The sequence below is a fragment of the Homo sapiens genome, chromosome 5 (assembly GCF_000001405.40).
Source record: "Homo sapiens chromosome 5, GRCh38.p14 Primary Assembly".
Taxonomy (NCBI): Eukaryota; Metazoa; Chordata; class Mammalia; order Primates; family Hominidae; genus Homo; species Homo sapiens.
This window is the reverse complement of record NC_000005.10, coordinates 89,388,024-89,400,580: the sequence shown is the minus strand read 5'-3', so window position 1 is coordinate 89,400,580 and position 12,557 is coordinate 89,388,024. Positions and strand designations below refer to the sequence as shown.

The window sequence follows — 12,557 nt, the reverse complement described above, 5'->3', positions numbered from 1 at the left end:
TCTTACAAACTACTCTGATGACTTGTATAAATAAATATACTATTGTTATATATGATTGACAAAATTCTATTCCATAAGGAAAATTCAGAGTATTACAAGGGTTCAAAGGAGAGAGTTTATTTGCTACAAGTTATAACAAATAGTGTATGTAGGAGATATAGCTGAGATGAAACTAGGATTATATTGGTTTTGGGTCCAAAGTAGACTTCAAAATCCTCAAGAACAGAATACCATGATCTTCATGTCTGAATTCCTCAAGCACCTATCAAAGAGTTTTGAAAATTATAGCAGCTCAATAATTGTTTGTTGAACAAATTATTGGATGGATTTCCAATTTCTGTGTATTGTATTGTTGGAAAAGAATCACTTGATTATCGTTTGTTCTAGGATAATAATTTGACAGTGTCCTTTTTACTACCAATTTATGTGGGATGCAGACAAGCTTACATATAAAGCCATCATGACAGTTTTAGATAAGGCAACTCGAAAAGCATAAATTACTATTAGACGAAAAAAAGAGGATAATATTCACTAATATTTCTCATGCAGCAATGATTTTGCCATGTTTGCCTGGAGTAACAAGGGCAAATGGCTTCAACATGAAAGTCCATGCAGTTTGTTCAAGATATTTTGACAGATTCTATGTTATCTCCTGATGTTATGATTTGTAATGTTTATAAGCATCATCTTATGACCTGATTGAAATAAATGAGAGCAAAGTAAAGAGATAAAAAAATCTAATTCAGGATAGAGCTGTAAAAACAAAAGATTAGAATAAGGTCCTTTCTGTCACTGAGATAAATTGTTATACCCTTTTATGTTTTACATCATGGACTTCTAACACATTCACAACTTGTATGTGTCATATGGGCATGAGCTATTTCTCATCCTCCCACTCATACTTCCTTCCTAATAGCAAGTTGTTCCAAAATATCTTGTCAGCAAGCGTTTGCTGCTGCTTGAAGACAAACTTGATTCTGAAACCCTTTGCTCTTTGTGAAAGAAAGAAAAATAATCTTGTTTTATTTCCAGTGTTAGAATATAAATCAGTATCATAGCTAATTTCAGAATTTTATGAGTGTTTAAATTAAATACATATAAAACACAATGCCTATTCTTGAAAAGATTTAAAGTATAGAATAGATGTTATATACATATAAAATACGTCAAGTTTTGGTTTTCTTGATTTTTCTATATCCTTTTTTCTTAAAATCTATGTATGTATTCCTACTGAAGCAAAAAATATTAAGAATTATAATTTTTTTCACCAAACTTTTGAGAAAAATTTCAATTAATATAGTTAATATAGCCACATGTATTTAAATAATAGATTGATTAAAAGGAAAATAAAAGAAATTTACCAATTCCAGTCCCAACAGCCTTGAAAATTACAAAAAAGCTTGTGATAAAACTTCAGCCTAGAAACTGCACATTTCTTATCCTGGCCACTGTGTAGGCTTCAGATAAATCCATAACCCTCAAACTTCTGAAGTAGAGACAACATCACTCCCAAGTCAGCACTCACTGTCTACAGTTGAAGTTTGACCCCAGTGTCTAGCTCAGAAACATGACCAAGAAGTAAGTGGTGGGGCTAGAACCAAAAAACCTCCACCATAGTGCTGACTGACTCCCATAGTCTACAATTGTAATACTGGAACTGGAAGTTCCAATACAAGGGCATCAACTAACTGGGAATAGGACAACTTTTTGTGGTATTTATAAAATATCTCTGGTCCACAAAGAAATGGTAATCAGGGGGCAGAAAAGATATTCATTTATTCATGCATTTGTATATACACACATGTTCATGACCTCAATATAATGTTGCATTCTTGGTGAAAATGTAAAGTGGTAAAACCATTATGGAAAATAGCATGAAAATTCCTCAAAAAACTAAAAATAGAGAGACTTTATAATCCAACAATCCCACTTCTGCATACATATCCAAAAAAATGAAATCAGGATCTCAAAGAGATACTGTAATTCCATGTTTAGTGCAGCATTTTTCATAAAACCAAGATATGGAAACAACTCTCATGTCTATAAACAAATGAATGCATAAAGTAAAATGTGGAATATATATTCAATGGAATATTGTTTGGCCTTACAAAAACAAAAGGAAATCTTAACATTTGCAACAACATGGATAAACCTGGAAGATACTAAGCTAATTAAAATAAGTCAGTGTCATAAACACAAATACTCTACTATTCTACTTATATGAGATATCTAAAATAGTCCAACACATGGAGAACAGAATAGTGGTTTCTAAGGGACTTGGAGGAACAGAAATGGGGAATTGTTGGTCAATGGTTATAAAATTTCAGTTATGAAAGGCAAATATGTTCTATAGGTCTGCTGTACAACGTAGTGCCTATAGTTAACAACAGGATATGATACACTTAAAAATTTGTTACAAAGGTGGATTTCATATTAAATGTTCTTACAACAAAAGGAGTGGGATGCATAAGGAAACTTGGAAGTGTTGAATATGTTTATTATCTTGATTGCAGTGATAGTATCACAGGTACATAAATATGTCCCAACTCATCAAACATGCATTAGGCATATGCAATTCCTTTGTATAAAAATTAGACTTTTCTTTTTTTAAAAAAAAAAAAGACCAGGGAGATTGAAATAGTGGCATTACAGAAATGTAATGGTGAGGTACTTAAAGTAGAAAGGACTAAAGAAACCATGTTCGGGTATAAGCATTTCATAGTTAGATAAAAAGCAAAAATAAATAAACTTTCATAGTTCTTGTATTGAGTAATATGTTCAACATTTCAGATATTTACCTCATCACTGAGCTTCAGTTCTTCCTTGAAGTTAACTCCATTATTAACCTTCAACAATTTCTTAAGGCTTGAACTAATTCTGACACTCATTATGTCTTTGATCTCCACCCCATCTCTGAGATTTAATTCTTAGGCTCTGTCCCATTCATCGCATTTGCCTTATCCCACTCCCAAATGACCACTAGCTAAAATTTCACTCTTACTCCAAGGAGAAGGTAAATGTTAGGTACAGAGCAAACTGTGGTATTAGAGGTTGGAAGTGAATGTCAGCAACAAGCTCATACCTGGAGATGAGGTAAAATAATAACAAAGGAGATAAAGGTTACACACATCAATTTTTGTAAAAACAATCATGTTTATATTATAAACTTAATTTATTTTAGAAATATAGAGCATATATAGGCATAGATGTATTTACAGATCCAAATCAGGAAGTATGTCATTCATGGGAATCTAGAGGGTGATTCATAACATTACACATATCTGGCTATTGGGTCTCTGGGGCATAGGTGGCAAGTGAAACCATAAGGCAAATGAGGAACATAAGAGACTCAGAAATGGAGGGAAGAGTATAGAATTGTCAATAAGAAGAAAAAAGGTGCACTGTCTAGTCCTCTTTTCCTATAAGTTTAGTGAAGAGTTGTGAAGAAAATGATTAAATCAAGACATAGAACGAAGTTCCTATAAAGGCATATTAATTGAAAAGTGTTTGATGGCATAGAAAAATGAATTCACAAGATCAGGGGAAAGGGTGAGAGCAAAGGAGCAGTCAAGACTGAAGTGTGTCTAAGGAATTAGAAGTAGTTGGATTGAAATTCACATGTCAGAGAGTAAAGTACAGAACATTTGACTTTCACTTTTGATAGTCACTGGAATAAAACATTGATGGATGCTGGAGTTGGGAAATAAACTAGAAGGCCATGGTAAAACAGGAACAGGATATGCAGACTTTGCTGTTGACAGAATTTGCAGCTTTTTGAAACCACAAAGGCCTGACTGGGGACTGGGATGTTGCTGTGATCTTGTAAACATGCTTCCTCTGCTTGGTTCTGTTGCTGATAACAGCTTCACGTTAGAAAACCGGGTTTTGGAGGACTGTCCCTCAGCACATTTACCTTCTACATGCTCAGCTCTTCAATGAAAACAGAGCATGTTAGGTAAAAGAGGCCCCAGTCCTCCTTCTTCCAGGAATTATGTTGAAGTTACTAGGCAATGTGAAGCTACATAAATTGGCAGTTTATTGGTGAAGTGATGATTTGCAAACTACAGCTTTATATAAAGTTGTAGAAACCAGGGCCTAAAATTATCAGGATAATATTGCACAACTGCTGACTCAAGAAAGCCTCAACTGTTTCCTTCCACTAAATAGAAAAGGCAGCATCTAGTTTTCATCCTTAAACCAAAACACACATTGTAGGAATGCCTTCTATCCTGATAATTTCACTCCTGTTTTGTGTTAGAACTTCACATATGGTATGATCTACAGTACTAGATAGGAAGGGGAGAAGCTTCACATCCCTAAGTCACTAAATTATCTAATCACTACATGTTGCAGTGACATCAGTAATGGGATGGTCCCCATAGCCCTTTGAGAGTTAACATGATCAGATTTGCCTGTTAAAAGATGATTTTCACACTATATGGAGGGTGGATTGGTAGGGTCTGTGGGAAGAGCAGATGAGATAAATCAGGAAACCACTGTCAAAATCTAGTGAGAACTGATGGTCTATAAGGAGAAAGAATATGTTTAGGGGGATTAAAGTTTGATGACTAATAGGATATGGGAGAAGGAATTAAGTAGAGAGAGGAAGGTAACTGGGATGAAAGCAAGATTTCTGGTTTGGGTGAAGGTGTCCTTTCTGAGATAGAGAACATAAGAAAGTGAGTGTGTATGACAGAAAAACTCTGGTATTCACTTTGGGGAATGTTGATTTTGGATATTCAACTTTAGACATGTTGAAGATTTCCAGCAGGCAGAAAGATATATAGTTTTGAAGATACATATATGTAACAGCTCAGTGTGTACATAGTTGGTGAGGTGGTAGATCACCCAGGGAAAAGATAGAGAAGAGACCCAGAAAACATACTTTAATTTTAACCTATTTGAAATTCAAAACTTTAGTTAAACAAGGAGCCATAGACTAAGGATTATTTTTTACTTTTATACATAAAACCTTATTTGCCAAAAAAAAGCATTATATGAAAATGATTGGCACTTAATGGATTAGATCCCTTATAGTTGTTTGTGCTTTTAAATGCACTTACCAAAGAAAGAGGAGCAATATAACCCTGGGTGTATATGTGTGTGTGCATATGCAAGCCAGAGAGTGCAACAACAAAACATACTGTATACATATGGGTATTTGTATAGATAAATTTTTTTTGAATAAATGCATATAAGGAAACACTAAAAATTTGTTCTTAAGGGCTAAGAGGAACAGTAGTTTTGGGGGGATGAGGAAGGAAATGTTTGTTAAGTGGGGATGATTACTTTGCTTATAGTTCTGCTTCCAGTCAGTGTGAAGTTAAACTTAAAAGCCACCCAAGGAATCCCTATTTAACTAATATAGAGGTTAGAGAGCATGCTTGTCCAGAGAAAGATCTCACCAGCAAATAACCCTTACATAATTTAATTGCAAATTATAGTTCATATTCATATTTATATGTGTGCTTTCATGTGTATGTGTGTATGCACACACATTTTACATGCACACACAAATATACACACAATTTTTTAGCTGGTGGAATGAAAATAATTTACAAGAGCTTAATGATTATAGTGAAACACTTAAACAACAATAATCAAAAACTAAAATGAATTATGGTAAAACAACTTAAAATTTGGTGTGTTTCTCCAGCAATGAGTTTTCAAAAATTTGATTAATTATGCATGATATGTTTAATGCATCCATTCTTGAAAAATTTGATAATAGCATTAAAAAGGACATTGAAAAAACTGACATTTCCTGTTCTCTATATTTGTATCTGTAGTACTTATATATTAATGATATTTACACTAAATTTCTAAATAAGTATAGTTATTTTTACATCCTTTTCCTAAGCCCAGATCATTTATTGAATTTTATGCTTAAGGTTGCCTAAAAACTATTTATAGTTCTTTAAAAAGTTGACTTTTCTAGTGCCAACAAATTGAGTATTTAAATAATGTAAGTGATTTAGGGGTCCTGTAAATGGCACCCATTTTTGTCCCCTTACTTCCGAGTTTGTAACTGATTGAGGACTGACAAGTGGAGCTCAAAATTTTAACTTCGTTTCTGACAAACTTTACTGGAGAGAATGGCTTTTTATGTGTGACCAAAAGATTCACCTATTAATCTCCTAAATTAATCAGATTTGAATGGATAACAACTAATACCTCCATTGGAATACAGGCTGCTCTCATGGGCTTAACCATAATGTGGAGAGCGAGAAAGAACACATGCATCTCGCAGGCAGACTGACTCTGAAAAAGGCCAACAAGGCCTACGTCAAGCACACCAAGCTTTTTCTTTCAAACTTATCACTCAGGTAAGTCGCTCTACTTCCAACTGAGAGAGGAGAAGAGAGCAAGTAGAGAAATGGAAGGCAGGCCTCTTACACTTTTCCTTCCTGGGGAAGTGAAGCAGAAATTGGCTTTCCTCCACTAAAACATGGGCAATGTTGTCCTGCATCCCTACTTCATAGGTAATAAGTAATAGTATACATCCATCACTTCCAGCATATATAAAATCCCTGTATTATGCCCGATGATAGAAATCAGTGAAATTTTAAGGAGAATCAGGTTAATTCTATAGCTATAAAGATGTTCAATTTGTTTCTTTCTTTTCATTGCCCTAGAGAAATAAATTTCTGACTTAAAGAAATGAGTGATTCTTATCTAGTCTAAGAGAACCAGAAGTATATTTATGTGTTTCTTTATAGTTCTTATTATACTTTATAATCCCGTTAAGTATTTTAATGAGCATATTTAGTTTACCAATTTTTATTTTTCATACGCCTATGATATTTGTTGCACTTGTAGAATGTTCTCTTTGTACCTTCTCTTCCCTGATTATTCTTTTTAAAAAGTCACTACAACCTTAAATGCCTCTTTATAAGGTCTTCATGAAACAAAGTTGACACACTGATTTTTTTTTTCTGTCTGCACAAGGGTGAAAGATGGAGGTGTGTTAAGAAGGCAAGTAGGATGCTACTTGAAACCCAGAAACAAGTCTACCAAAACAGCTTGGGTAGGAAGACAGTTAACTTTGAAGTAATGATCAAAATTTTTCCTTATAAACAATCTGTATACTTAAAGATACCTAAAGATAAGCAATATGATAATATTTACCTTGATTTCTGAAGATTTGTTCTAATTAGTAAGTCAAAAGTAGACATTGTACTATATAAAATGTCTAACAGTTCATGCTTCCTACTAATGTTACTGGATTTAATACTATTACTATTATGTGGCACTTGAAACTCTACCCCAGAGAAAAGGAAAATGCCATGAAAAACTTAGTTTTGTGATTGAATTGCATAATTAACATATAAATTTATGATGCTAAAAAGGCAATATTGTTATGGATCAGTGCATTGGCCTTATTAACATTTCTGTTTGAATTAAAATCTTTCATAAGATTGCTTTAGCTTTTTTATTACTACAGTTAATACAAAAAACTTAAGAAGGCTCAGTGATAGTCACATGCCTTCAGATTTCATAACAGTGGAGATAATATCTGGTCAGTTTTGTTCACCGATGTGTCCTTTATGCTGAACACACAGTAGGAGTTCAAGAAAGTTCTGCTGACTTTATGAATAGATTAAGAAACTGGAGACTCCTGATAATATGAAAAGTGCCAGCCTCAATCTTCTTGCAAGGATGCATTAATTTGTAATGGGGTTGAAAAATCCTAATCTTTACACAGAAAAAGGAGGGAAACATATAGTTCTCTTATAATTATATTATGGTCTAAAGATGCCAGATTTTTACGAAGCATTTTAAAAGGTTTTTTTTTTTCTAAACAGAATAAATTTGGCTTTAACATTTGAAAAGGTGTCTTAGAAAGTTCTTACTATGTATTTTTAGGAAGTATTTTAAATAAATTAAGGAGTATGGTGATAACTCTTTCTAGCATGGAAGAAATGAACTTTCTTGTGGGAAACAGAGACATTTTTCATCTGTAATTTCTCTAGATTGCCATTGAGCAATAAGAGATAATGAACAAGAAAGGCAATATTGGCTTCTTCAGGCCCCGGGTTTAGGATAAGATAAAATGATTATTTAACATAAATTGGGAGATGTCTTACCTTTTAAGATTGAAAAGATGTTGTAAATATAACCATAATGACCCTGGGGTAATTTGCAAGTTAAGGCAATTCAGGAAATGGGACAAATTATGTAGCAAAACAGTGAGAAATTAGATTCAAATCTCAGTTTATTTGGTTTTGAGCCATTCAATTTCATGAAGTGATTTAATCTCTCTGTATCTTAGTTACAGCATTTATAAAATGAGAATGACAATATCTATTTCATAAGGGCTATTGTGAGAATTAAATAAAATAACTTAAATAAGGGAGTAGTACAATGCCTGGCATCTATCAGTATCGGCACCCCTTTTTTTTCCGTCAGAAATGTGGAGAAATTTTGAAACAAACCAGCTTAGAATCTCCAGCTAGGAAAGCCCTTGAAGTAACATGAAGCCATGCGTCTACTGGGTTGTGTTTAGAAAGAGTGAGAGACACAAAATCACCCACCAGCCCAGTTGAGTTATCTCTAGCCAAACCTCACAGTGAGGGTTTCACTAGTGTGGGACAGTTACAAAAAAAACCAACATTGGAGATGTCTGCCAAGTGAGGAGGTATTGAAGTGGTGGCAAAATAACTTGAATATTGCTGGGCACTATTGGATCACCTTAAGTGAGCGGAATGCCTCAGTGCCTGCTGTCCTTTTTGGAGAGAGGAATATTCAAAGTTCTCTGTGGATGTTGTTGTTTTCCTGAATAAAAAGGTAGTAACAGCCTTGAGAGATAGTGGTATAGGAGAGAACCCCTGTGGAGATGGCACTGGTGGCTCCTCAACCCACTGCATTGGTAAAAGTCATCATCGTACACACTGAAGGTTGGAAGAAGACAATACACAGCTAAGTGCAGACAGCTCCCCTAGGAAAGAATTCCACTAAAGGGGAGCAATTGTCTGTCTTACTGCTTCTCAATAAGTGGTCCATGAACTGGCATGAGCACAACCTAAGAACTTGTTAGATTCTCTGGGCACAGGGGCCAGGTCTTTGTTCTAACAAAGATGATTGTTAAGCACACTAGGGTTTTAGATGCACCGGTCTCTGGAATAATTTTCCTAGCACTGCGGTAGCCCATTCCTGTCTTTTTTGAAAGATGCAGGGAGTTTTATGGTGGATTGAGCTTTAGCATTCAATAGGCAGCATACTCTTCTCACTTCTTTTTTCCTTAGGGCACAATATTTATACGGTATAACTCTAAGTAACAGAAAACTGGGAAGAGAGAGGATTTTTTAGTACTTGGGCAACTGAACGCCTCGTAGTACAACTTTTCTCATCTTTCCAGAGTCCCCTTATGCAGGTGGAAAGCAGGACTTAGGGGAAATTGAGCTGAATCCCCAAGTGGTTCTAAACAACAAGCTCAATATTCAGACTACTCTGGGTTTAAAGTAAATGTTCTGGAGCTCTAACATACAGTATGGGAACTGTAGTTAATAATACTGTATTGTGTACTTGAAATTTACTAAGAGAGTAGATTTTTAATGTTCTTGCAACAAAAAAATGAAACAAAATAACTATGTGAGGTGATGGATATGCTAATTAGCTTGATTGTGGTAATAATTTCATAATTATATATACATCAAAAAATCACAAAATACACCACAAATACACACAATTTTTATTTGTCAAAGTAAAAGTACTTCCAGCAAGAAGGTACTTTTTGTGTATAATTCATAGATAGGCTTAATGACTTGGAGATTTACTCCTATGTTTTAAACTGCTGTTTTAGCTGTTACTGTTTTACCAATTCCCAGATCCACTCTTATGCCATTAATAATGCCAGAGAGCAGCTGTGTTGAAGCTGAGGCTGTCTCCTGACCTTACCAGCCTTTGCTATGGGCAGTTCCCAGCTTCACTTGCTAATATAACCCTTCTACATTTATTTCTCTGAGTTGTTCTTTCTTGTTTTCTCAGTAAATATTCTCATTCTCTTGTCTTTCTATTACTCCTCTGACTTAACCTCTCCACTGAATCTTTCTTTTCAGCATTGCATTATGCTTTCCTAATTTTTATATTATTCTCACCTAATGGATCAACCAATGAGCTGCTACTACCTTGTAAAGATCAGCAGTAGAGGTTTCCTTTTTAGTAACATCAGCTCCTTCTCTCTGTCTGGTATATTTCAGCCTATAGAGACATTCTCCATTGTCAATATGTGAAGATTTCCAAATTTGATCCCTTATGAGGAAAGTGGTTAAAGAGACAAAGAGAGCCAAGAACAAGAAGAACACACAAAGAAAAAACAAGTATATTTGATGTGGCATCAAATATTGCTTCAACGCTCTGATCTGGTGTTCATGAGTTTGATATCAATTATGACATTTTGATGTTCTAAATCAAAGATGTGGCTAGGATCACTGATACTATAGAGACCTCAAAAAGAATGAATGACCTTCAGTGAGATCTTTGTAGTATCAATGAAACACATGAAAAAGAGAAGAATTTAAGAGACCCAATATTTCATTCAGAGAATTTCTCTTACTAAGAATTTGTGAGGTGTAGGTTTATATTCTTTTGCACCTGATATAAATAGTTTTTGTAATAATTATTAAATACAATTTAATGTTAAAGAATTCACAATACTAGCAAATAATTTTGTTTCCCCATGTACTTCCCCAAGCTTTCCAGAGTTTTATTAAATTGCAAATTTGAACCACTTTGTAAAAGCAACCAATGAATAATGCCACATGCACAGAAAAAGTGAGCTAATTATGTTTATCTAACTGTCCATCTTTGGATTTTCTAGGATTTAACTGGAGGAGAATGTTACTCATTGTAAATAATTCTTCAACCAGAAGTGTGCTGCCTTTAGTGATGGCTAATACAACCTATGAATGCATATCTTAGAAGAGAGATACATGTAAGTTAAGGGCAGAAACCCAAAATGATCAAATTAAAAGCTCAGAGAATAATCAATCTGCAATCAAAGTTCTGCACTCCTCCTTTGTCCATCAAGAAACTGATGTTTCTGACTCAATCATTTACCTGGATGAGGGCCTCCAACTGCCATATTTTCCTCTGTTCTCCTCATTGAGCAGATACATCCTGATGAATATATCCAACATACATATACCACGTACATAATATTATATATGTTGTCTATTGCTTCATATTTAGAACCTTAAAGCACAAGTTTAGAACCTTAAAACAACACACATTTATCAACACAGAGTTTCTATGGAACAGGAGTTGGGGCCAGGCTTAGCTTGCTCTTCTTGAGATCTCATAAAGTTTCAATCAAGATGTCAACAGGTCTGGGGTCTCATCTGGAAGATGAGATAAACTGGCTTCCAAACTCATTCACATCTTGGCAGAATTCATTTCCTCTAGCTATTTGGCTGAGGCCCAGAGTTCCTACAGGCTACCTGCAGTGTTTTGACACATGGGCCTCTTCGTAGGTGGTTCATAACATGACTGCTTCATTAAGACCAGCAAGGGAGTGAAAGTGGAACATTTCAGAAGTCTCTGGGCTCTGGTTTTAAGAAACTTATTGAAAGATAATCATTTCCTTCAAAGGTTTTCTTGCAGCCCGTCTGAAACCATGAATTGCTGATTCTTGTCCTTGTAGTAAATCTCTCTTCATCACTTATATTCTGGAGCTCAAAGAAGGACCTGCATAATTACTGAACATAAATTTCAGTTCAAGAACCTACAATTTACTGATCTTTAACCTCCTGAGATGAGAGCTCACTGGAACATCCAACTTGTAACATTAATAACAGTGTATACTGTTTCTCTTATCATTACTATTCAATCTCTGTCCCACCATCAGGCAATTTCATTCATTCCTAAGGCTTCAGATAATTTATTTCAATGATTCCCAGAACTTAAGGCCCATAGCCCTTGTGCCATATTCAGTCCTAGATTAAGTTGATTCCCCATCATTTTACTAAGATGTACCTCAGTTATCTGAATCTGAACAGTTGGAAAATGTGTTCGTCATTATCTTCCCTCTCATTTGCCCATACTCATTTTTACCAGGTCCTCTTCTTCCTCTCATTAAATAGAAACACCTACGTGGAGCTGATTTTTCATTCTTTCTTCTTCCCTACCATTTAAAATAATCAAATACTAGCATTCAACTTCACAACATTTAAAATTTGAATTATGAACAGTGTATATTTGTAGCAAAATTATAAAATTAATATTCATGAACCCAGTATTCTAATTAAGAAATAAAAGTCACTATTACTTTCTGTTAATTTCACTTTGTGCTTATCTAAAAGCATTCCAGTGCCTCCTCACTCCTCCGGACTTAATTACTATTCTAAATTTTGTGTTAATCATTGTCTTGTTGATCTTTATATGTGTTCCCAAACAATATAATATTTAGCTTTACCTGGTTTTAAAATCTATAAACATGATATTCTAATATATCTATGCTTTCAACAACTTGATTTTCTTCACTCAACCGTAGGGTTTAATATTTATACTGTTGTTTGTAGGTGGAATTTACTTGAAATTTGTATTGAAAAATATTTTAT

At 34.4% G+C, this 12,557-nt stretch overlaps 2 long non-coding RNA genes across 7 annotated transcripts in view; one reads left to right on the top strand and one right to left on the bottom strand.

Annotated features, from left to right (window-relative positions):
• The window catches only part of MEF2C-AS1 (MEF2C antisense RNA 1), a 584,252-nt gene that overhangs the window by 67,001 nt on the left and 504,694 nt on the right, over positions 1-12,557 (bottom strand). The window lies entirely within an intron of this gene.
• Positions 6,221-10,977, top strand: LOC105379074 (uncharacterized). Its single transcript, XR_001742437.2, has 3 exons — positions 6,221-6,326; positions 6,949-7,050; positions 10,820-10,977. It is a non-coding gene; the product is annotated as an uncharacterized LOC105379074 (long non-coding RNA).